Source organism: Homo sapiens, chromosome 8 (assembly GCF_000001405.40).
Source record: "Homo sapiens chromosome 8, GRCh38.p14 Primary Assembly".
In the NCBI taxonomy this organism is placed as follows: Eukaryota; Metazoa; Chordata; class Mammalia; order Primates; family Hominidae; genus Homo; species Homo sapiens.
In genome coordinates this window covers 94,520,716-94,547,400 of record NC_000008.11, presented here as the reverse complement: position 1 = coordinate 94,547,400, position 26,685 = coordinate 94,520,716, and the positions used below count along the sequence as shown (strand labels likewise).

At 39.5% G+C, this 26,685-nt stretch overlaps 1 protein-coding gene across 4 annotated transcripts in view, besides 1 other annotated feature; it reads left to right on the top strand.

Annotated features, from left to right (window-relative positions):
- VIRMA (vir like m6A methyltransferase associated) overlaps positions 1-26,685 on the top strand; it is a 65,781-nt gene that overhangs the window by 6,069 nt on the left and 33,027 nt on the right. For 3 of the 4 annotated variants that reach the window (NM_015496.5, XM_047421677.1, NM_183009.3), the window contains 7 exons: positions 3,459-3,574; positions 9,055-9,141; positions 10,250-10,298; positions 12,394-12,562; positions 16,316-16,438; positions 18,059-18,331; positions 20,038-21,178. In NM_015496.5, coding sequence (NP_056311.2) covers positions 3,459-3,574; positions 9,055-9,141; positions 10,250-10,298; positions 12,394-12,562; positions 16,316-16,438; positions 18,059-18,331; positions 20,038-21,178 — 1,958 coding nt within the window. Of the gene's footprint in view, positions 1-3,458; positions 3,575-9,054; positions 9,142-10,249; positions 10,299-12,393; positions 12,563-16,315; positions 16,439-18,058; positions 18,332-20,037; positions 21,179-26,685 lie in introns of those variants that run through there. The other variant, XM_047421678.1, reaches the window with a different exon arrangement.
- Positions 12,267-12,766: an enhancer, noted in NCBI's record as "H3K27ac hESC enhancer chr8:95546863-95547362 (GRCh37/hg19 assembly coordinates)". NCBI's record gives its function as "activates a minimal SCP1, AML or CMV promoter by ChIP-STARR-seq in primed H9 embryonic stem cells {active_cell/tissue: H9 hESC(primed)}" and the evidence as "EXISTENCE:reporter gene assay evidence [ECO:0000049][PMID:30033119]".

Genomic DNA, 26,685 nt, shown 5'->3' with positions numbered 1-26,685 from the left:
TCCTTCCAAAGATAATTGTGGCTCAGAGTTGTGGAATCTGACCAGTCTTCTTCATATTCCTGTTACTTTCCTGATCATGAACCTTCCATGATTTCCCATTGTTAACCTGTTTTCCTAGGCTTTGTTTTTAATTCTCTGAAAACACAATTCAATAACCATTAATCAAGTGCCTATTAAAAATTCATTTATTAAATGAATATGCTAGGCACTATGAATATACAGTAAACTAAGACATAGGTCTGTCTTCTTTAAACACATAGTCTAATGGGAGAGATAAGAGGCAATTACAATTCAGCTAGATAAAGGACTTTAGGCACTAGGAGGAGAGGCACCTATCTAGATTTGATCTGGCTCAGCTTTCAAGAGAAAGTTTACTTGTAAAAGGAGTTGGGGCAGAAGGATGTGATAGATTTCAAGCAGAGAGAACATCATGAGTGAGGGCATAAAAATGAGAAAAGCATGGTAAGCTAGGGATATAAGTTTGGAGCAATAAAGAAGCCAGTCTTGTTTATAAGACCTAGGAATTTGGCTTGGCAACAGTAAGATCAGGGGAGTGGTACATTTATAGTTTAGAAAGACCATACTTCAGTAGGAGAATGTGTTGATGGGAGGCAAGAAAGAAGCACAGGATGCAAAGGCGTAAGAATGATACAATGGACTTTAGGGACTCGGAGGGGGAAGGTTGGGACGGGGGTGAGGGATAAAAGACTACATATTGGGTACAGTGCACACTGCTTGGGAGACAGGTACACTAAAATCTCAGAAATCACCGTTAAAGAACTTATCCATGTAAACAACCACTTGTATCCCAAAAACTATTGAAATAAAAATTTAAAAAACAAAAATTAAAAAAGAAGCACAAAATCAATTAGGATCCTATTGCTGTAATTCATATTGGAGTGATGTAGTATATGGAACTAAAGGAGTGACAGCCGGAATGGAGGAGAGCTTTAATCAATAGGACTTAGTGTTTGAATAGATAGATGATATAGAAGAGAGAGGATGAGAAGTCCAGGATAATAATGTCTTGGGCAATATGTGGATGGTGATGCCATCACTAATGTAGGAGAATTCAGTTTGGATTTGTTGAGTTTGGTGCACAAGGGACATTGAAATGGAGAGGCTGAGTGGGCAGTTGGATATAGTAGCCTGGGGCTCAGGAGAGAGGTCCTAGATGGAGATACAGATTGGGAATTGTCCTCTGGCTGTGGATGAAAATCTTGTTTTTGTAATTCTGTTGGTTGTTCTTAGCTACTCTTCTCTGCTTTCCTCCCCTGTTTTGCTATTTTGCCCTCTAGCTATGATGAACTATGTTTGCAATTTCTTTCTTTCCCTTTTTTTTTTTTGACAGAGTCTCGCTTTGTTGCTTAGGATGGGGTGCAGTGGTGCCATCACGACTCACTGCAGCCTTGACCTCCTGGGCATAAGTGATCCTCTCACCTCAGTCTCCTGAGTAGCTGGGACTACAGGCATGTGCTACCATGCCCAGCTGATTTTTTAATTTTTTGTAGACACAGGATCTTCCTATATTGCCCAGGCTGATCTTCTTGAACCCTGCCCTCAAGTGATCCTCCTGCCTCAGCCTCCCAAAGTGCTGGGATTACAGGTGTGAGCCATGGCTCCCAGCCTGCACTTTTGTGAATGTTCCATGTTCTCTTTTGCATTCCTTTTGTGCATGCCTTCTCCCTTGTTTGCCTACAACCTGGGCTGGGGACCTAAATACCCCTCTGAATTTTCATAGCATCCTTTGTGAGTCTGTATCATGGCAATTTATCTACTTGTCTACCACAACAGATTGTCTGTTCCATAATGGCAGAGATTATGTCTTGTCTTTGTAGCCTCAGAACTAGCATACTTTGGAACATAGTCGACATTTAATAAATATTTAGAAATAAATATTTAACAACTGGTAGCAGCAAATACAGAAACTCTTTTATATACAAACAAAATAGATTTTGAAAGGCTATTTGTAAATCCTTAAATTCATTGTTGGTAAGCATGATATTCTTTATAGCGAGACTCAGTCTTTCTAGATGCAAATAATGTGAGCCATTCTTCTCATGATGGACTTTGACCACTTGGTAATAACAGTTGACTGAAGTAATAGGAAAAGTTGACATAAAATTGTCCAAAAACAATTTGAAAACTCTCTTTTTAATTATTGAAAACAAGAATTATATTTGCCTAATCCTGTGTCAAATGATAGATGTAAGTATATACTAGATATAATTTATGCTGTTTCTTTTTTTGTTTGTTTTTCTTTTTTCCCCAGGATGGAGTCTTACTTTGTCACCCAGGCTGGAGTGCAGTGAGGCGATCATATCATAACTTAACTATAGCCTCAAACTCCTGGGCTCAAGTGATCCTCCTACCTCAGCCCCCTGAGTAGTTAGGGTTACAGGCATGCACCTCTGCTTCTATTTTTTTTTCTATATAATAAACTCTTAGTTTGTGGTTTTGTTTTGTTTTTTAATTTTAGGAGGGGTTTATCTCGGCTATTCAGTACCTAAATGCTTTCCCTGATCCCTTGATATTAGTTGGTATGTAAGTTTAACAAAGTAAGCTGATCTAAGTACAGATTTGCAGTTTCTTATCTATAATTCAGAAACTCAAAAATGGCAAAAAACTTACACCAAAAAACACAAAACCCTACCCTGAATTCATTTGGCCATGCAGTCTAATCTGAACTGATATGGTGCTTGTTATAATCTTTTTTTTTCTTTTTTTTTTTTTTTTTTGAGACAGAGTCGCTCGCTCTGTCACCCAGGCTGGAGTGCAGTGGCGCGATCTCAGCACACTGCAAGCTCTGCCTCCCGGGTTCACGCCATTCTCCTGCCTCAACCTCCCAAGTAGCTGGGACTACAGGTGCCCGCCACTGCACCCGGCTAATTTTTTGTATTTTTTAGTAGAGACGGGGTTTCACCGGGGTCTCAATCTCCTGACCTCGTGATCCACCTGCCTGGGCCTCCCAAAGTGCTGGGATTACAGGTGTGAGCCACTGCGCCCGGCCATAATCTTTATTTAGTGTGAATGTTGATACGTGTGGCTGCAGAATATTAATGTTTTGATTACAGGGTGCTGCTGCAGAAGCCACTGGGGGTCTAAAGTAATATGCAATATTTGGATTATATTATCTTTCTAGAAATCAAAAAGTCAGGATTCTGAAAGGCATTTGGCTCCAGAGATTTCAGATAAGGGACTCTGTGTCTATATTAGTCTAAGCAAAACATCAGCAGGGAAGTAAATGCATGGCAGAAAATGTTAGGCAAATTGAGAAACTTAAGTAAGTACATCTTATCAGCTATTTATACAACACTGTAAATAATATATTTAATGATATTTAATGATATGGAATGTTAAGTTTACATGTGACATTGTGAATGAATAAAATTTGAATAGAGAAACTGTTTTACATAATGTTCCGAACCCCTCCCCCTCCGGCTTTTTTTTTGTTACAGCAAAGTTCTCATATAGATGTGGTTCGTTTTCCATGTGTGGTTTATATCAATGAAGTCCGAGTCATACCCCCAGGAGTAAGAGCCCATAGCAGTCTGCCAGACAATAGAGCATATGGGTAAGTCAACTCTCTTTTTAAAAGTATTTTTTGGTTAAAGATTGTCTTAGAAACATATTCTTAAATGCAAAAATGTAAGGGAATATTTTACAAGTGATAAAATCCTGAAGCTATTCAATTATGGTTATGCTGCATTGTAATTGGCTCTATATTTTCTGTATAATGCATATATCATCTTAAACCTGAAAACAGTAATTATTTGACCTGTGTACTAGATAAGATTTTTCTTTATTCATTTTTTTTTTAACTGATGGTGTTAGGTTTACGTTTTCTAAAATATCCTGGGGTGGTGTAACCAGGTAGATGAAGTATTTTTAACCTGATTTTTCTCTTGAAAATAAGTGGGAATTAGTTGAAATATTTATAAGTGTATCTTACTATTATTATTATTATTATTACTCCTTTTTTTTTTTTTTTTTTTTTTTGAGATGGAGTTTTGCTCCTGTTGTCCAGGCTGGAATGCAATGGCGCAATCTTGGCTCACTGCAACCTCTGCCTCCTGGGTCCAAGTGAGTCTCCTGCCTCACCCTCCTGAGTAGCTGGGATTACCCCACCACCACACCTGGCTAATTTTTTGTATTTTTAGTAGAGATGGGGTTTCACCATATTGGTCAGACTGGTCTGACCCAGCACTTTGGGACTGGTAATCCCAGCACTTTGAGAGGCCGAGGCAGGAGGAACACCTGAGGTCAGGAGTTCGAAACCAGCCTGGCCAACAGGGAGAAACCCCGTCTCTACTAAAAATACAGAATTAGCCAGGCATGGTGGCGCATGCCTGTAATCCCAGCTACTCGGGAGGCTGAGGCAGGAGAATCGCTTGAACCTGGGAGGCGGAGGTTGTGGTGAGCTGAGATTGCGTCATTGCACTCTAGCCTGGGCAACAAGAGTGAAACTGTCTCAAAAAAAAGAAAAAGAGTTAAACTAGCTACTTTGTGGTGGGTGTTATGGGACAGATTCAAAGTTAAGGGCTCATTTCTTCATAATTGTGGAAAATAGTTCATTATTTGTAGAAATAGGTATAAAGTCTTCATAGGCATCTTTCAAAAATTAAAAGATACACAAGAAAGATCTTTAATGTTTATAGTGAAGGATCATTATAATTGACTTCATATCTTTTTTTCCATGTTTAAGAAAATTAACTCAAGTTTCCCTATACGTTTCTTCCTGATTTTCCTGTAAAGGGAGCTTTGTGTAGAATGAGGAAGATTGGATAATGATAGTATATCCAACAGTCTTCTCTAATTGTACTGCTTTTGGCCAAAAAAAGTTTGTCATTTATTGTTCCATAACAAATTTTAGCAAATATAGCAGCTTAAAACTACACATTTATTATCTCACATTGTTTCTGAGGGTCAGGATTCTGGGAGTCGCTTAGCTGGCTCAGGTTCTTTCATGAAGTTGTAGTCAAGATATACACTGGGGCTGAAGAATTTGCTTGGTAGTTCATTCATGGGGCTGCTGGCAGGAGGCTTCACTTCTTTGCCAGGAGATCCTCTCCATGGGCTTGTTCGTGTCATGACATGGCTTCTTCCAGAGTGAGTGATCTAAGAGTGAGAGGGCATGCCCAAGAAAGAAGCCACAGGCAGTGTGTTTTATAACTTAATATCAGAAGGTGACATATTATCATCTTTACCATATTCTGTAGGTTACATATTCTGCTGCTATAGTGTGGGAGGGGCCTACATAGGGTGTACACCTTACCACATAGGGTGTGAATACCAGGAAGCAAGTGTCATTGGGGTCATCTTAGGGACTGGCTACCATAGCAAGCAAACTGGATTTCGGCAATTAGCTGCCATTGGTAGGATTATTTGTTGCATTTTCCGTTATCTTAACCCTCTTCCTTTTTCTTAGCTGGAGATGTGTGGCTTTTCATGTTGTAATAACTCTAAACATAAAGTATCAGAAACAAATTTATACATCATTAGTATGCTACAGAACAGTAAAATAAAGTATTAACGCAGTAAAACAAATGTAAGAGTGAGGGCCAGGCACGGTGGCTTATGCCTGTAATCCTAGCACTATGGGAAGCTGAGGCAGGTAGATCATTTGAGGTCACGAGTTTGAGACCAGCCTAGCCAACATGGTGAAACCATGTCTCTATTAAAAACACAAAAATTAGCCAGCTGTGGTGGTGCACACCTGTAATCCCAGCTACTCAGGAGGCTGAGGCAGGAGAATCGCCTGAACCTGGGGGGTGGAGGTTGCAGTGATCTGAGATCGCACCACTGCACTCCAGCCTGGGCAACAGAGCGAGACTCCATCTTAAAAAAAAGAAAAAAGAGCCAGGAAGACCGAATCTGAAAGTTGAAAGCAGTGTTAGAGATCAAGTGATATTTGTGGGCATACTTTATAATAGTGTTTTTTCTCATTATAAAATTTAGAAATGCTTAGATAAAATTAAAATCCCTTTAATCCCTTTATTCTGGTAGGGTGTGGTGGCTCAGGCCTCTAATCCCAGCACTTTGGGAGGCCGAGGCAGGAGGATCACTTGAGACCAAGAGTTTGGAGACCTCATCTCTACAAAAAATTTAAAAATTAGTTGGGCGTGGTGGCTCATGCCTGTAGTCCTCGCTGCTTGGGAGGCTGAGGCGGGAGGATTGCTTGAACCCAGGAGTTAAGAGTTGCAGTGAGCTGTGATTGTGCCATTGCCCTCCAGCTTGGGCAACAAAGCAAGACTGTTTCAAAAAAAAAAAAAGTAATAACAATAATAATTATAATTCCTCTATTCCAAGAGCATCTTAACATTTGATATATATTTTTAATGTGTGTGTGTTTGTATGTGTGTGTGTGTTCATACATATATATGTGTGCTTATATATGTATTTTATTATTACTTTTTGTAAATATAATACCTTATGTGAGGTTAGGTTTTTTAGAGTCACCGAGTTGTAAGATAACTGGCTAGTGCAGTCAGATTTCCTTTGATTCTTTAAATCGTTTTTCAGTGACCAGGACCTGAGCCTTTAGGGTCTCAAAAGTAAAGAAAGAGTTTGTATTTTAGCTCTTTTTCCTTTTCTTGAGATACTGAAGTCCAAGGTCTAGTTTAAAGAAGGGCCAGGAGGGGTCAGGTGCAGTGGCTCACGCCTGTAATCCCAGCACTTTGGGAGGCTGAGGCGGGTGGATCAGCTGAGGTCAGGAGTTTGAGACCAGCCTGGCCAACATAGTGAAACCCCGCCTCTACTAAAAATACAAAAATCAGCTGGGCCTGGTGGCGCGTGCCTGTAGTCTCAGCTACTTGGGTTGCTGAGGTAGGATCACTTGAACCTGAGAGGCGGAGGTTGTGGTGAGCTGAGATCGTACCACTGCACTCCAGCCTGGGCGACAAGAGCAAGACTCCGTCTCAAAAAAAAAAAAAAAAAAAAGAAAAGAAGAAAAAGTAAAGAAGGGCAAGAGGAAGAGACTAGAGTTGTTGGGTGCATATGATTGAATTTGGGTAAGGCAAATATATGTTGTTATTTTGCTGTTACTTTTTAGTGTTTTATGTATTCCTTTATTTCATTTATAATATATCAGGAGTACTTTTACATCATTAAATATTACTTGATTTTATGATTTCTAATAGCTACATAGTCTAATGAATGACTATAGTATAAATATATTTGATTAGTCTCCTATGTGGGGACTATTAGATGGTTTTTAGTTTTCAAATTACAAGTAATAGTATGATGAATATCCTCTTGAAAAAAATCTGTTCGCATATCAAGGTTTCTGTAAAAACACTTTCTAGAAAAAAGTGCATCAAATGGTGTGTCTTTGTCCATTTTGTGTTACTTTAACAGAATACCACATACTGGATAATTTATAAAGAAATTTATATCTCAAAGTTCTGGAGACTGGGAAGTCCAGTATCAAGGTGACAGCAATCTGGCAAGAACGTTCTTGCAGCTTCATCTCATGGTGGAAAGCAAGAGCCAGAGAGCCCAAGAGAGCAAAAGGGAGCTGAACTTGCTTTGTTAACAAGCCTACTGTCACAGTAACTAATCCACTCCCCAGATAACAACATTCATTCATTCATGAGGGCAGAGTCCTCATGATCCAGTCATGTCTTATTAGGCTTGCCTCCCAACACTGTTGCATTGGGGATTAAATTTCCAGGACATGGACTTTGTGGGGTACGTTCAAACGGTGGCTTGATGTGAACATTTTCTTAGTCTCCTGAATTTTATTGCCACATTGCTTTTCAGAATGATGATGCCTGTTTGTGCTTCTACCAGAAGTGCATACAGGAATCTCTTTGATAGTACTCTAGACATTATAGTTATTAACATTTGGATTTTTATATAAATGAACAAGAATAAAGTATGTGGTTTTCAAAGTCAAGATTTTAGTTGAATTTAAGGAATTTCAACCAAGGGTGCTATGGTATAGTATCTTTTACATAAAGTGTAGTAAGATTTTAGTCTAATGCAAATTAAATAGGCTCTGATATTAACCAAATAATCTATTTTTAGAAACCCCAAAATATTTTTGTAAATTGCTGCTGTACAAATATCAATTGGCTTTAAGTCACAACTTAGGGCTGTGATGCTAAAGTTACTATTATAGTCTTGTATTAATGTGGATTAAGTTGAAATTGTAATTACACAACTTGAAGTTAGCTAATCCCTGATTCTTTTGGTAACGAAAGGAAACAGGCATGCCTGAGTCCCAGCACTTTGGGAGGCTGACATGGGAGGATCACTTGAGCACAGGAGCTCGAGACCAGCCTGGGCAACATAGTGATAACTTGTCTCTACTTAAAAAAAAAAAAAAAAATTAGCCCAGTGTAGTGGCATACACCTGTAGTCCCAGCTACTTGGGAGGCTGTAGCAGGAGGATTGTTTGAGTCTGGGAGCTCGAGGCTACAGTGAGCTGTAGTCACGCCACTGCACCCCAGCCTGGGCAAGAAAGCAAGACTCTGTCTCTAAAAAGAAGGGGAGGCCAGGCGCAGTGGTTCACACCCAGCACTTTGGGAGGCTGAGACGGGTGAATCTCCTGAGGTCAGGAGTTTGAGACCAGCCTGGCTAACATAGCGAAACCCCATTTCTACTAAAAATACAAAAAAATCAGCTGGGCATGGTGGTGCGTGCCTGTAATCCCAGCTGCTCAGGAAGCTGAGGCAGGAGAGTCACTTGAACCCAAGAGTAGAGGTTGCAGTGAGCCGAGATCATGCCTGCCATTGCACTCCAGCTTGGGTAACAAGAGCGAAACTCTGTAACACCGTCTCAAAAAAAAATGAATAGTGATAGCATGCAAAAAGTACTTGATTAAAATTTGATATTCAGTAATACTTAAAATCAGCTGTTGGCTACTTGAGATTGGATGTGAATAAAATTACATACAATATCATAGTTAACTATATTTTTGTTATTTAAATCTTAGGAACATCATATTCTAATTCTAGAATTGCTCTTAACTTTGTACTTACTATGTTATTTGTTTTAATTTAGGAAGTGTTTGTTACAAAGGCTGATGTTTCAACTTTGTTTCATTTACAGAGAGACATCTCCCCATACATTTCAATTAGACTTATTCTTCAACAATGTAAGCAAACCAAGTGCCCCTGTTTTCGATAGGTTGGGAAGGTATGTACCTGCTAGGTAATTTCACCAGAAACTCATGAGTTAGTAAGCAACACCTTTTGATTGATTCTTTAGATAGAAGAAAAGGATGTATCTGCTGGTAGACCCAAGAACACAGGGTTTAATTGTGTCATGGTGGTATTAAAGAAATGTCAAACTCCTAAGGAGATGCTAAATTTATAAAATAAAAATTTAAATGTGTGAAATAGCCATTGTTTGTTAACTTGTGACTCGTGCATGTGTTTCTTATATACATGATACTTTCACACATGATAGTAACCTTCTAATTTGGAAAATATCTTTGATTCTTAAATTATATAGACACATTGAGAGCTAATATTTTATGTGTGTCTTTCATATCACACTACTGTGCAATTTATAATTCCATAGCCACATTTTGTAAAATGAAACTTTTGTTAGTAGATACCCCCTTTTTTGATTATTTAGTACATGCTAGGTAGTTTTTTTCAGGTTAGGTATTATTAAACCTGTTGTTGTGATGTCTGCAAACAAATGACCATTCAATGGGTTTACTTAGAACTCATAAAATAAAAAAAACTAAAGGCAGCTTAAAAATGAGAAAATGTCTGTTTCTGTCAGGAATTAACAGTTTCTTAGACATCACTTATTCTGTTATTGACCCCTCTCTTATTTATTATTAAATTATGTCAATAATTTAACTTTTTTTTTAAATGAAGGGCAACCTTAGATAATTTGAAGCAGGTAATTTTTAGTATTTGGGGGTGTTTTTATGTCAGTACCTACTTAATAAAAACAGGTGCTTTTCTTAAATTTTGGTTGTAGTCTACATTTTTGTATGACTGTAATGCAGTGGTTCTCTACTCTGGCTGTACATTAGAATTACCTGGTGTGCTTTTAAAAATTTATTGATGTCCATACTCACCCCAAAGCAATTAATCCAGAATCTGGGATTGATTTTTTTTAATCACATTTTGGGGACAATACATTAAACTCAAACTTTGTGGTTTATTGAATCAAAACAAAAATCTAGCATTTGATTATATTAAAATATTTGAATCTAGAGAGACGTCTTCATGAACTGTGATGTTCAGTGTTTGAGCTTACATATTTATTTCTACTCTCTTGACAGCCTGGAATATGATGAGAATACTTCCATCATCTTTAGACCTAACTCAAAGGTAATTCTGGAAGTCAGTTTTCAGCTTGTCATTACTATTTGCTCTCAACTCCATTTAAAGTTTTTGATCCACATAAATCAGTGTTGCAGAGTGTCATATCTTTTTTTTTTTCTTTGTGTTTTTTGAGACGGAGTCTCGCTCTGTCACCCAGGCTGGAGTGCAGTGGCGCAATCTTGGCTCGCTGCAAGCTCTGCCTCCCAGGTTCACGCCATTCTCCTGCCTCAGCCTCCCGAGTAGCTGGGACTAGAGGTGTCTGCCACCATGCCCGGCTAATTTTTTGTATTTTTAGTAGGGACGGGGTTTCACCGTATTAGCCAGGATGGTCTTGATCTCCTGACCTCGTGATCCAACCGCCTCGGCCTCCCAAAGTGCTAGGATTACAGGCGTGAGCCACCGCGCCCAGCTCAGAGTGTCATATCTTATCTGATTCTTCTAGCACCTAGACACTATTTTATAATGCAGTAAAGACATTGTAATGCCGTTCTCTACCTATAAAGCTCTTTCTTCCTCTTTCGAGTCAAGAAGAGGCCAGCATTTGTGCTTTACCATCTTTCATTTAGATAGGCAAGTTCAGAAGACGACAGGCAGGCAAATTGTTATTAGACACTACTGTGCCTTAAAGTTTCTTTTAAAAGTACATATTTCATATTTCTCCTTTCTTATCAAAAATATGCCTTTTTTCTTGATATGCCAGATGCCATGCTGGAAGCATTTAGTGGCAGATTTGAAATGCAAAAATAATTATGACCTGGTATGGGACTACTCAGCTTGCTGTTTGGTTTTGGGGGGGATGGGTATTAAATCCTTTGCATCCTGTTTAGACTAAAAATTATCATTGTTATCTGTTTATCTTCCTTCCAGTGGGATTTCTGTTCAGTCTATCAATCCTTGGCCAGTCTTTGAACCCTTCTTCTGGTCCCCAGTTTCCCTGTGTAGTCTAACAAAGAAATATTAATTTCTTTTTTCCTTATCGTGCCTCCAGAAGGGGCCCCGGTAACACTTAGAACTTTGTCTTTACCCAATATGGTGGGGTGGAAAGAGAACTCAGAAGTCAGGGCCTTTGGTTTCTAATGCAGGCTCTTCTTCACATGCTCTGGTTTTCTTATTTCTTAAAAGGGAATGACAATATCTGCTCTCATAATTGTGAAGATGTAGCTATTAATGTAGATAAGCTCTAGAAAGCATGAAGTTATTTTTTCTTATAGGGAAATATTGAGGGTTAATGGCATTGGCAAAAGCCTTTAATCTTTTTAGGAGAAAGTTTCTTTGCAAAAACAATTTATTTAATGCCTCTGGGTTCCTTTACTTTTTTTTTTTTTTTGAGACCAAGTCTCGCTCTGTCGCCCAGGCTAGAGTGTGCAGTGGCGCAATCTTGGCTCACTGCAGCCTCCGCCTCCTGGGTTCAAGCAATTCTCTCCCTCAGTCTCCTGAGTATCTGGGATTATGGGTGCCGCCACCACCCTGGCTAATTTTTGTAATTTTAGTAGAGACGAGGTTTCACCATCTTGGCCAGGCTGGTCTTCAACTCCTGACCTTGTGATCCACCCACCTTAGCCTTCCAAAGTGCTGAAATTACAGGCGTGAGCCACTGCACCCGGCTAATTCCCTTACTTTTTAATGTACAATGTGGGTACGTAAAATATACCTGCATGTATGAATTTGGCTTCTGAGAAGAATGCTATGTAGTTTTATGGACTTTATCATTCTTGAGACTGAGCATCATTTGTGCTTTTGGTCCCTTCTACGACCCCTGTACCTATTGGGGTTTAATTTATTAATTAGCAATAACTCCTACTTAATTTTATTCTCATTTCTTTTCTCTTGGATGGGAGTCTGGTTATACTTTTTGAACAAGGTTGACATAAAGCATAGGACTGGGAGATGTAATCTTAGGACAGGTGCAGGTGTAGTTATGGTAGCTCTGGAGAACCACACTAAAAGCTGTGCCTAGGTAAATTTCACTTTGTGTTGACTTTGCATTTTCAGCATACTTTTAAAGACTTTAGTTGAACCACAATCTAATTTGGTATCAGCTAACTTCTAGCATTTTAAAACATGACTTTGAAAGATTTTTTTTGCCCTCCCTGAAAATCAGGTGAATACTGATGGTCTGGTGCTAAGAGGCTGGTATAACTGTCTGACACTGGCAATATATGGATCAGTGGATAGAGTGATAAGTCATGACAGAGACTCTCCACCACCACCACCTCCACCGCCACCACCTCCCCAGCCACAACCAAGTTTGAAAAGGAATCCAAAACATGGTGAGAATTTTAAATTTGCTTTTGCAAGTGAAACTTATATCCGTGGTTTAAAAAAAAAAAATAATTCGAAGAGCACTCTTTTACCTTTTGTTTTTGTTTTATTTCTTGAGAGGGAGAGAGGAAGAGAGGGGGAGAGAGGGAGGGAGGAGATGAGAGGGAGAAGCAGAGGGGCAGAGGGGGAGAGAAGGAGGAAGAGGGGGAGATAGGAGGAAGAGAAAGAAAGAAGAGGAGGCAAGAGGGAGAAGGGGAGGGAGAGAAAGGAGGGAAAGTGAGGGATTGGGGTGGGAGAGAGTGAGCAAGCACACCTCGTTCACCTTTTGAACCTTGCTTAAGACTTGACAAGATAGCTATCTGTTAGTCTCCCATTCTTGTCTAAGAGTTTCTTTTTATGTTGAAGTGGTGACATTTTATTTTCTTCCTCTGTTTTCCTAGAGAACTTTTAAAACTGATCTGAGGGAATTTTTTCCCATTTAAAATATCTTAATGATAATGCAATCTAGTGACTATTCATGGTTTACTATTAAAATTATTTGTAAATGAATTGAAAAATAGGCAGGGAGTTTGTTACATATTCCCGGAATACTTATATAAATGACATTTTTTTTTCAAGAGTGCATTTAAAATTTATTAGGTATCTACATCTTAACTAATGTAGATTTCTTCCACTTTTGAGAACCTTTTGCTCATTAACTGGAAACAAGAAAAATAAGAACTTCAGTGGCTTTCTTTCAGAAGATAGGCAGCTGGACTCATGTTTCTCAGAATCTCTTCTCCTCACTCCAGTGTTAATCACTGTAAGAAGTTGACCACAAGGCTGAGAGCAGTGGCTCATGGCTGTAATCCTAGCACTTTGGGAGGCCGAAGTGGGAGGATTGCTTGGGGTCAGGAATTCAAGACCAGCCTGGCCAACATGGCGAGACCCTATGTCTATTTAAAAAAAAAGAAGTTGACACAATGAGATTCATAGCCAGCTGCAGTGATATGCATCTGTGTTCCCAGCTACTCAAGAGGCTGAGGCAAAAGGATCGATTGAGCCCAGGAGTTCGAGTCCATTCTGGGCAACATAGTGAGACTCCCATCTGTAAAAATAAATAAATAGGCTGGGCATGGTGGCTTATGCCTGTAATCCTTACACTTTGGGAGGCTTGCTTGAACCCAGGAGTGTGAGACCAGCCTGGGCAACATAGGGAGAACCTGCCCCTCCCAAAAAAAAAAAAAAAAAAAGAAAGAATTAGCTGGGCACGATGGCATGTGCCTGTGGTCCAGCTACTCTGGAGGCTGAGGTGGGAGGATCTCTTGAGCCTGGGAAGTTGAGGCTGCAATGAGTCATGATCATGCCACTGCACTCCAGCCTAGGCAACAGAGCAAAACCCTGTCTCAAAAACAGAAACCCACACACAAAATAAATAAATAAAAGGAGTTTCAAGAATACATTTTGAAATTGTAATTAAAGTCACTAAGGAATAATATTTTGCTTTATAATTAGCATGTTTGTGACTATAAATAACCTTTGTTTCTCTGAATCCTGATATAGTAATGTGGTGTGAGCTCTTTTTTTTCTGATGGTGGTCATACACTGTACTTTTCTTATATCTTACCTGCTAAGCATAGTTACTCTTTCAGTTTTCTTTTTCTTTCAGTCCTTCATTTTTCTGTGCTTTTTTTTTTTTAACCAAACCGTGAGCTCCTTGTGGATAGAAAGTATGTTTTACATATATTTGTGTTTTCAGTCTTATCATAGTGTCTGACATATGTAGTGGTTACTCTAAAAATTTGTTCAATTTACTGATTTGTTTTAAAATTGACAAGCACATATATATACATGTGTTTTTAACTTTTTATTTAAAAAATTTTTTTAATTTAATTTTTTTGTTTTTAGAGACAGGATTTTGTTACGTCACCCAGGCTGGAGTGCAGTGGCCTGATCATAGCTCACTGTAACGTCGTAATCCTGGACTCAAGCAGTCCTTCCACCTCAGTCTGTGGAGTAGCTAGGACTATAGACGTGTGCCACCCTCCACCCCAACTCATTTTTTTGTAGAGATGGGGTCTCACTATGTTGCCCAAACTAGTCTCAAACTCCTAACCTCAAGTGATCCTCTTGTCTCAGCCCTTCAAATACTGGGTTGACAGGTGTGAGCCACCACACCTGGCCCCTTAACTTTTTACTTTGAGATAATTATAGATTGACAGGAGGTTGCAAAGAAATGTACAGGGAAGTCCTGTGCACTCTTTAGCCTCCCCCAGTGATAACATCTTTTATAAATATAGTACAATATCAAAACCAGAAAATTGGTGTTGGTGTAATCTATGGAGCTTATTCAGATTTCACTAGATAGACACGCACTTGTTTGTGTATGTGTAACTCTGTGCGTTTTTATGTCATGTGTACAGCCTTGCATAACCAACACCATGATCAAAATACTTATCTGGGCTGGATGCCGTGGCTCACGCCTGTAATCCCAGCACTTTGGGAGGCCGAGGCGGGCAGATCACTTGAGGTCAGGAGTTTGAGACCAGCCTGGCCAACATGGTGAAACCTCATGTCTACTAAAAATACAAAAATTTGCTGGGCATGGTGGTGCATGCCTGTAGTCCCAGCTACTTGGGAGGCTAAGGCAGGAGAATCACTTGAACCCTGGTGGTGGAGGCTGCAGTAAGCCAAGACTGTGCCACTGCAATCCAGCCTGGGCGAAAGAGCAAGACTCCGTCTCAAACAAAACAAAACATAAAAAGAAACAAAACCCCAAAATACTTAACTACACCATTGCCCCAAGATTCCCTATTACCCCTTTATAGCCCTATTCATCCCACCCATCTCTAGCCTTTGGCAGCCACTAATCTGTTCACCATTTCTATAGTTATATTATTTTACACGTTACATCAATGGAATCATGCAGTATCTTTGTGAGATTGACTTTTTTCATTCAGCATAATTTCCTTGAACTTCAACATATTATATATAAATAGTTTGTTGTTTTTTATTGCTGAGTGGTGTTACAAAATATAGATGTACCAAAATTTAACTGCTCACCTGTTGAAGGACATTTGGGTAGTCTCTGTTTTTTGGCTATCACAAATAAAGCTGAACATTCCCTTATTTTTTTGGCATGAAAACAAAATCTTCATTCTCTGGGATTATGCCCAAGCCTAAGAGTGTATACATTATGTTTTGGTATGTGAGAAGTCAGAAATTCTAATGTTACCAATATAGATTAATTAGCAAAATTTCTGTTAAGATGCCAGGAAGGAAAAGTTTATAATCAGTTAATTCTGAAGATGAAAGTCTGAAATGATGACAAGTATTTTTTCAGTATGTGGGAAGTCAGAAATTCCGATGTTATTAATATAGATTAATTAGCAAAATTTCTGAGACACCAGGAAGGAAAAGTTTATTAGTTAATTCTGAAGATGAAAATCTCCCCAGTGATGAAAAGTATTTTTTCCATTCATTTCCTTATACTTTAACATGATTATCTTTGTTCTACTTGGGGATTGATTTGTTCTAGGACTGCCTGTGTATACACAAATCTGTGCATACTCAAGTCCTGACGTTGGCCCCGAGGAACCTGCATATACAGACAGTCAGCCCATTATATATATGCAGATTTTGCATCCCTCAAATACCATATTTTAGATCTCTCTTTGCTTTAAAAAAATCACATGTAAGTGGACCCACACAGTTCAAAGCCATGTTGTTCGGGGGTCATCTGTAATTTGAAAGTTCTTTTTCTGTCTCCCATAAAACACTAGCTGATGGGGAGAAAGAAGATCAGTTTAATGGAAGCCCTCCAAGACCACAGCCAAGGGGACCAAGAACTCCTCCAGGACCCCCTCCACCTGATGATGATGAAGATGATCCTGTGCCTCTGCCAGGTATAAATAAAACCAGTGCTAAGGTTTTCCCCCCTAGTTAATAGTACATTTTTGTTTTTGTTTTGAGATGGTCTCACTCTGTTGCCCAGGGTGGAGTACAGTGGCTCACTGCAGTCTTGACCACCTGGGCTTAAGTGATCCTCTCACCTCAGCCTCCTAAGTAGCTGGGACTACAGGTGTGCATCACCATGCCTTGCTAATTTTTAAAATATCTGTAGAGATGGGGTCTCACTATTTTGCCCAGGCTGGAACTCCTGAGCTAAAGTGATCCATCTGCCTTAGCTTCACAAAGTGTTAGGATTATAGGCATAAGCCACCGTGCCTGGCTAATAGTGCTTTTTGATTAAGAAAAGAAATCAGGTGCCAGTAATCAAATCTTGATGCAGTCTCCCCCCATGCTGTGCAGTATTTCCTTGTGTTTTTCTTTTTCTTTTTTCTTTCTTTCTTTTTTCTTTTTTTTTTTTTTGAGACAGGTTTTTGCTCTGTGACCCAGGCTAGAGTGCAGTGGCACCATCTCAGCTCAGTGCAGCCTTGAATTCCCGGGTTCAAGAAATCCTCCCACCTCATCCTCCCCAGTGGCTAGGACCACAGGTGTATACCACCACGCCTGGCTAATTTTTTATAGAGAAGAAGTTTCCTATGTTGCTCAGGCTGGTCTTAAACTCAAGTGATCCTCCCGCCTTGGCCCCCCACAGTTTTGGGATTTACAGGTGTGACCCACAGTGCCTGGCCACTAATTGTATTTTTCTTTCTGTCAGCCAGTTAACTTGTTAAAAAAAAATTTGTTAATTCATTTGAAGCTGTGCCAAAATAAAGTGTTAGTTTGCTGTAGTGATATGTACAAAAGAGTACCAGTTAAAAATCACTAGTATTGGGCTGGGTGTGGTGGCTCATGCCTGTAATCCTAGCACTTTGGAAGGCTGAGGCAGGAGGACCTCTTGAGCCCAGGAGTGTGAGACCAGCCTGGGCAACATAGGGAGACCCTGTCTCTATTAAAAATAAAAATAAAATAAAATAAAAATAGGCCGGGCGTGGTGGCTCACGCCTGTAATCCCAGCACTTTGGGAGGCCAAGGTGGGTGGATTACCTGAGGTCAGGAGTTCGAGACCAGCCTGGCCAACATAGTGAAACCCCATCTCTACTAAAAATACAAAAATTAGCCGGGTGTGGTGTTACACGCCTGTAATCCCAGCTACTCAGGAGACTGAGGGAGGAGAATTGCTTGAGCCTGGGAGGCGGAGGTTGCAGTGAGCCGAGATCATGCCACTGCACTCCAGCCTGGCCGACAGAGTGAGACTCTTGTCTCAAAAAAAGAAAATAAATAAAAATAATAAATAAAATAAAATAAAAATAAGTATGTACTGGAAAAGACAAAAACGTGTATAGTTACTTAAAAGCTAAAAAGAAAGGGAATGGCTTAACAGTATACTTTATTATTGCTCACTGTAGAAGTTGTACAGTGTATACTCAATATTTTTTAAACAGTGAGTAATTCTTTTTTTTTAAGGGTATTTATAAACTATATCAACCAAAATATTAAGTAGTTGCCATATCCAGTCTTGCTGCCTTTTGTCATTTAAACCATTAAAATAGTCTGTGCCTTAAATCTCAATTTTTCAGTGTCTGGTGACAAGGAAGAGGATGCTCCTCATAGAGAAGATTACTTTGAGCCCATTTCTCCTGATCGGAATTCTGTTCCCCAGGAAGGGCAATATTCTGATGAAGGAGAAGTAGAAGAGGAACAACAAGAAGAAGGAGAAGAAGATGAAGATGATGTGGATGTAGAGGAAGAAGAGGATGAGGATGAGGATGATCGACGAACAGTAGACAGTATTCCTGAGGAGGAAGAGGAAGATGAAGAGGAAGAAGGTGAAGAGGATGAAGAAGGTGAAGGTGGGTTATGTTAGCTAGGACTTTGGGGTTTAAGTACTAGAAACTAACTCGATACAGCTTTGAAAAATGCAAAAGAATTTCTAGCAAAGATAAATGGGTTCCAAGAAACCCAGGGTCAGAATGTAGCTAGGCCTCAAGGCATGACTAGAAATGAGATTTCCATCTCTCCTCTGCTTTGTGTGTTTACTTTAATCTCCCCTGTTTAACCAGCCAGCCTAAACTGCCTGACTGTATCTCAGTTTTCTGTTTGACTTGCTACAGTATGAGTTTCCCTTTGACAGCATCAGCTTTTGCCAGGAAAACAGGGTCATGTAACAAATACATGTTGGTTAGGGATTTGGTGGCTGTTTTCAGAGTAAGGAGTGGTAAAGCTAGGTGGAATTCCTAAAGATGTCTGCCACCTAGATATTTTAGCAAATGCTACATTATTTTTAAAAATTCAAGGGAAAAATCTCAATTACACAAGTACATGTGGCAGTATGATACAGTCCTTTAATTAGGCTTTATTTTTCCTTTGAAAGCAAAAAGTGAGAGATACTCAAGCTAATTGGCTCTTAATTTGCCCAAGAAATGGCATTTAATGTTAAAGCATTTATGCAGAATAACAGATAATCTGCCTTGGCTTTTTTCTACAGATAGTAAAAATGAATGTCATTTCAGAATCATAGGGGCTCTTTTAAAAAATATCAAATAGCTAGATTATCATGTGATTTTTTTTTAACTTTCCCCATTCACAGATTATCAAATAATTATTTCTAGATTTATTGTATTTGGCAAAAGTAGTTAAATGTTAGGCAGGCAGTTTTCTTTTTTTCTTTCTTTTTTTTTTTTTTTTTTTGAGACAAAGTCTCATTCCATGACCCAGACTGGAGCGCAGTGGTGCGATCTTGTTTCACTGCAACCTTCACCTCCAGGGTTCAAGTGATTTGTCCCTCAGCCATCTGAGTAGCTGGGCTTACAGGCACGCACCCCTACGCTCAGGTAATTTTTGTATTTTTAGTAGAGATCAGGGTTTCACCATGTTGGCCAGGCTGGTCTCGGACTCCTGACCTCAAGTGATCTGCCCGGCTTGGCCTCCCAAAGTGCTGGGATTACAGGCATGAGCCACTGTGCACAGCCATATTTTAAATGGACACATTTTCTATCAAAATATAATGGAGACCTACAAAACTGTGTGATAGGTAAATGCAGAGAAATAAAAATTCTGGAATGTGAAATTGTTATAAAACGAATCTACAATGGTTTTGCTGAAAGTATTTGGTTTAACCTGATGATATTAGTTCTTACTTAACTTAAAACAACCAGTTTTTTTTGGTCTTAAAAATAATCTCTCAAGAGGACAAGCATAATTTCTTTCCTCCTGAGATAGATATTTTTGTTACTTTGAGGCATTTCTAATTATATTTCTGTGAGGAAAAGATATCTGTTACAGTTAGTTGTAAAACTGAACAGATACAGAGGAATTTGCTTAAAATGTTTGTCCAGTTTTCAGGTCTCACCCCTTTCAGGAAAAAAAGAAGTTTGTCCATAATTCTATTAGAAATTATAAAATGTTGTAAAATTGTGGGTAAGATGTTGGGGCAGAAGTTGGTTTTGTTGAGGAAATCATTTTTAATGTTTTATTAAAACTATTTCTTGTTCAATCAGAATTTATGTATTAGACAAAGATGATGTAATACTTAAATATTATTCATACTAATTTTCAGGGGATGATGGTTATGAACAAATTTCCAGTGATGAAGATGGAATTGCTGACTTGGAACGTGAAACATTTAAGTATCCAAACTTTGATGTTGAATACACTGCTGAAGACTTAGCTTCAGTTCCTCCTATGACATATGATCCATATGACAGGGAGCTTGTACCACTCTTATACTTCAGTTGTCCATACAAGACTACTTTTGAAATTGAAATCAGTAGAATGAAGGATCAAGGTCCAGATAAAGAAAATTCAGGGGCAATCGAAGCCTCAGTGAAGTTAACAGAACTCTTAGATTTGTATAGAGAAGATAGAGGTGCAAAATGGGTAACAGCTTTAGAAGAAATTCCAAGTTTAATAATAAAAGGGTTAAGCTATTTGCAATTGAAAAACACAAAACAAGACTCCCTTGGCCAGTTGGTAGACTGGACCATGCAAGCTTTAAATTTACAAGTAGCGCTTCGCCAACCTATCGCCTTAAATGTTCGACAGCTCAAAGCTGGGACCAAATTAGTGTCCTCACTAGCAGAATGTGGGGCTCAAGGAGTTACAGGACTGCTACAAGCAGGAGTGATCAGTGGATTATTTGAACTTCTGTTTGCTGATCACGTATCATCTTCTCTTAAGTTAAATGCTTTTAAAGCTTTGGACAGTGTCATTAGTATGACAGAAGGAATGGAAGCTTTTTTAAGAGGTAGGCAGAATGAAAAAAGTGGTTATCAAAAGCTTCTGGAACTCATACTTTTAGATCAGACTGTGAGGGTTGTTACTGCTGGTTCAGCTATTCTCCAAAAATGCCATTTCTATGAAGTCTTGTCAGAGATTAAAAGACTTGGTGACCATTTAGCAGAGAAGACTTCATCTCTTCCTAACCACAGTGAACCTGATCACGACACAGATGCTGGACTTGAGAGAACAAACCCAGAATATGAAAATGAGGTGGAAGCTTCTATGGATATGGATCTTTTGGAATCCTCAAATATAAGTGAAGGGGAAATAGAAAGGCTTATTAACCTCCTAGAAGAAGTTTTTCATTTAATGGAAACTGCCCCTCATACAATGATCCAACAACCTGTTAAGTCTTTCCCAACGATGGCACGAATTACTGGACCTCCAGAGAGGGATGATCCATACCCTGTTCTCTTTAGGTAAGACATGTTTGCCTTTTGGGAAATAAATTTCACAAATCATTGGAGACAATTTTATGTGGTTGATTTTGCTTTTTATCTGATTGTAGGTAACTTATTTATGTGTAAGGATACTTGATATTTCAAAACGGTTATTTAGTAGTGGAACTGAGAAGTATGTTACTGTGGGTGAGCTTATATTGTGTTAGTTCTTAAAGCAAAAATGGGAACTTCAGTGAAAGATTTTAGTAATTAACAATGATGCTTGTATAAGCATGTCTATGAGCAAGAATAAATGAGAAACTGCTGACTTGCTTCTGGGAAGGTGGTAACAAAGGAATGGTGTAGGAAGGAGAGCTCTTCTGTGTGAACCCATCTGTACTTACTACTCTTAATACATTGTAAGTTAAAATTATATTTTACTAGCTTAATTTTACAGTGCTGGTTAAAGATGTCTTTAAGTTTCCATTACTACTTGTTTCTGCCATCTACCTCTCTCATCTGTTGATACAGTTTTGCCATTGTTAGGACCAGCATCCCTAGTAGATTTTTTATTTTGTTTTGAGACTTTCTTTCTTACCATTTGCCTGTAAATAATTTCCTAACATAAAAATGGAAAAATGGCATTTGAATTATTTTATTACTTATTTTTGTGATTAATATTTTCATTGATTTGGATGGAGCATAGTGCATTCCCAGGGGATGGGATATGTGTCCAGTCTAAAACCTCCACTTATCCAAGTTCCTGTTTTTAGCTGAAACTGTTACACCTTGTCTTAGTTTTGAGTTTCCTAAAAGGATAACTTGAGTCAAAGTCTTGGGTGCAGGTTCTTTGAAAGATTATCCTAGGAAGCAGAAATGCCTGAAGAGAGTAAGATAAGGAGAAAAACCAGTAAAGGAAGTGTTATTATACTTATTGCTGTGGACAGCTGGGGCTCATCCTACTGGGGATCCTCCGAAGAACTGGTTAAAGTGTATCTCCTGCTTATCCTCCTAAAACATTCAGGCTGGGCATTCGTCTACCAACTCTCCCCTTTGGTTCAAGGATGCCCACAAGAAACTTTTAACTCTTTTATGCTTCTGAGCTGTTCCTGCTTGTGGTCCGAGCACCCTTTAATCCCTTTGGGGGGAACCCTGAGAAAGAAAGGTAGAGAGGCCCAAAGTGAACACTTGAGGCCAGATACTGGCAACCCTCACAGATTGTGTACTGGGAAATCAATGGGTCAGTGATGGGAGGTTGGGGAGCAGTAATATGTAAGAGATGGGCAGAGAATGCATTTAGGCAGGATACTTAGAAGGAATAGAAAGACAAAATGAGAAGCAGGAGAGAATAGAAACTAAGGAAGCAAATAGTTTTAGGAACCAGTGAATGGTTTGTTGTGATACTGTGCAGAGGTTCAGAAGATAAGGATAGGAAATCATGTATTTTGTAACATAGATTGCAAATGGGGCTCTGGCAAAAGTAGTTTAATGTAGCAGTGGGAGAGGAAGTGTAGATGAAAAACCACTGGCCAGTAAGGATTTGAAATGGTGTAGGCCACTGTTTTAAGAAATGTGGGTGGATCACCTAAGGTCAGGAGTTTGAGACCAGCCTGGCCAACATGGCAAAACCCCATCTCTACTAAAAATAAAAAACTAGAGCCGGGTGTGGTGGCTCACGCCTGTAATCCCAGCACTTTGGGAGGCTGAGGTAGGCAGATCATCTGAGTTCAGGAGTTCGAGACCAGCCTGACCAACATGACGAAACCCTGTCTCTACTAAAAATACAAAAATTAGTCGGGTGTGGTGGTGGGCGCCTGTAATCCCAGCTACTTGGGAGGCTGAGGCAGGAGAATCATTTGAACCTGGAGGTTAGAGCATGCGGTGAGCCAAGATCTGGCCACTGCACTCCAGCCTGGGCTACAGAGTGAGACTCTGTCTCCAAACAAACAAACAAACAAACACCGGCCAGGCATGGTGGCTCACGCCTATAATCCCAGCACTTTGGGACGCCAAGGCAGGTGGTTCACCTGAGGTCGAGAGTTCAAGACCAGCCTGACCAGCATGGAGAAACCCCATCTCTACTAAAAATACAAAATTAGTGGGGCATGGTGGCGCATGGGTGTAATCTCAGCTACTTGGGAGGCTGAGGCAGGAGAATTGCTTGAACCCGGGAGGCAGAGGTTGCAGTGAGCTGAGATCTCACCATTGCACTCCAGCCTAAGCAACAAGAGCGAAACTCCGTCTCAAAAAAATAAATAAACAAGTAACAAAAACACACACACACACAGACACACACAAAAACTAGCCGGGCTTTGGTGGAATGTGCCCGTAAACCCAGCTACTTGGGAGGCTGAGGCAGGAGAATCCTTTGAACCCGGGAGGTTGGAGGTTCTGGTGAGCCGAGATCGGGCCACTGCACTCCAGCCTGGGCAACAGAGTGAGATGCTATCTCAAAAAAAGAAAAACTAGCCAGGTGTGGTGGTGCATGCCTGTAATCCCAGCTAACTCGGGAGGCTGAGGCAGGAGAATCGCTTGAACCCAGGAGGCAGTGGTTGCAGTGAGCCGAGATCGTGCCACTGCACTCCTGCCTGGGCGACAAGAGCGAAACTCCGTCTCAAAAAAGAAATTTGGCCAGCCTGGGCAACATAGGGAGACCGCTACAGAAAATAAAAAATCAAAAAAAAAATAGCTGGGAATGGTAGTGTGCGCCTGTAGTCCCAGCTGCTCAGGAGGCTGAGGTGGGAGGATTGCTTGAGCCTGAGAGGTTAAGGGTGCAGTGAGCTGTGATTGTGCCACTGCACTCCAGTCTGGGCAGCAGAGTGAGACTGTGTCTCAAAACAAGAAATTTGGCTAAGAGAAAAAGTAAGAGACAAGGCAGCAGCTAGAAGGAGATGTTGGAGTCAAAAAGGAAGGTTTTTATTTTTTAGGAGTGGGAGAGGCTTGAGCATATTTGTAGGCTGGGAATAATGACTCATTTATAATAAAAAGTCAGTGGAGAGGGAGATGTTTATGATGTAGGAGTAAACAATAACAATTCCTGGGGCAAGGCTTGGTGGGAGATGAGGACAAGAGTACAAGTGTAGGAGTTTGGTTTTGGGCAGGAGAAAGGGAATCTTGTAAGTATGCAAATATAATACATTTGTAGTCTTGGAGATTGTAAAGAAATTTAAATACTTCTTACTAACAACTTTATTTTTAGTAGAATAGGTGATGTTTTCAGTCACTGAGAAGAAGCTAGTAATTAAATACTTACTGAGTGTTTTTTTCCCACCATATGGAGGAGGTATATTTGGGTATCAGACAAGAGGAAATAAAGGGCCCAGAATGGTTGTGCTAAGGAATTTGGATTTTATTTGTAGAATATGGAAAGGTATTGAATATTTTGGAGTAGCAGATCTGATATGATCAGAGTAATATTCTCAGATTTTGTGTTGCAAGATGTATTGCAATGGAAAAGAAATTAGAGTTACTAGGAAGATAAGATAGTCTGAGGTTTCTAGGTACTGGGTTTTAAGTACTTTGCCCTTAACAGGTAATGGAAAGGCAAATATTGTGCTTATAGTGACAGAGATTGTGAAATAGCCATTATATTATATAATAGTACTAGGACTTGGCAACAGGACCTAGTAGGCGAAGGGAAGTGAGAAGAAGCTAGAGATTTCTAGCCAGGGTAGCAATTGGAGCTGTGGTTTTATTGACAGAAACTGGTAAATTAGGAAGGAGAGTGAATTTTGAAAGGAAAAATAATTGTACTTTGGAGGGTTTGTTTTTGAAGTGGTGGCAAGGCTCTATTGTCCTATGTCAGGTTCCCCAAGAGCACCAAGATTCTCTAGGAGGACTCACAAAACTCAGCATATAATACTCAGCAAAGGAAAAAGGTACCTGGGAGGAAGTTGGGAAAACCAGTTGCAAGCTTCCAGAGTCCTCTCACAGTGGAGTCACATAGTGCCTGCCTAATTCTCACAGCAACAGGTTGTGACATGTGTGAAGTGTTGCCTGTTGAGGAAGCTCTTTAGAAACTCGGCACCCAGGCTTTTTTATTTTTTATTTTTAAATAGCAACAGTGACATGTTTTGATACATGTATACATTGTGGAATAATTATATCAAGCTAATTGGCATGCAAATTTTTTTATTGTGGGTAGTCATGTAGGCACTCACTGCCTATCTTATACCAGAATTCCAGACTCCTAGAAGGAAAGCAGGTGTTCAGCATAACCATATTGTTTGCACAAATAATTTAGGCACAAGGAACCATTCTTATCAGTTAGGGGTGCGGGAATCCTCTTGAAATCTAAGTTCCCAGAAGTTAGCCAGTAGCCAACCTTGCAAGCAGACCTCTAAGGATGTGCAGTCTGAGGCTTGCTATTTTAACCATTCTCTGAATGGTCCATAAGGGGGATGCTCTTGGAGCATAGTAATTCTGGAGTTTTGTCTTCTTGAAGGTTCTGTTTGCCTTTGTAGTAAGCAGTTACTGGTGGGTGTTTATTATTGTGAAGTAGAAGCCTGGGTTTAAATAGTAATAGGACTGAAGAAGCAGTTTCAGCTTTTGACAAAATTAAGTTCTGGCCTGTCATTTACTTTTTAGTAGTATTTTGATGGGTTTATGAAAGCTATTGTGTTACCATTTGCAGTGACTAAAATGGAAGAGAATGAGTCAGAATTATAAATAATTTTATTCTTTTTAACTTTCAGAAAATTATGATATTCTTAATAATTAAAAATTAAGAAGTTTTCATTAAGCTGGTTCTATCTTGTAGTCAAGAGATGTTTTGACAGATTTTTACCCCATTTTTGAGTATTTGAAAAAATACGATGTTTTGGTTCTTTTTTCTTTAAAATCTGGTTAAGTTTCATTTTTAAAAAGTTGAGGAATGAGATCATGTCCTTTGCAGGGACATAGATGAAGCTGGAAGCCATTATCCTCAGCAAACTAATGCAGGAACAGAAAACCAAATACTGCATGTTCTCACTTACAAGTGGGAGCTGAACGGTGAGAACACATGGACACAGAGAGGGCAGCAACACACACTGGGGCCTGTTGAAGGAGAACAGAGGGTTGGGGGAGAGCATCAGGAAAAATAGCTAATACATGTGGGCTTCATACCTAGGTGATGGGTTGATAGGTGCAGCAAACCACCATGGCACACGTTTACCTATGTAACAAGCCTGCACATTCTGCACATGTACTCCAGAACTAAAAAATTTAAAAAAAAAAAAGAGATAAAAAAGTAGATTTTGGAAAAGAGTTTAGGGAGAATGAGGCAAAAGGATCACTTGAGTCCAGAGAATTGCTTAAGACCAGGAGTTTGAGTCCAGCCTGGGCAACATAGCTAGATTTCGTCTCATAAAAGAGTGCTATGTGTGGTAATACTAACTGCTTAAATGTTAAAAATTGACAATTTGAAAGCTTTTTCCCTAGAGATACTAATTCAGTCTACTGTAGTAAATCTGAGTATACTATATTTTTCTATAGTACAGTCATCCCTCACTGTCTGCAAAATTGGTTCTCAGACCTCCCTTGGATTCCAAAATCCAAGGATGCTC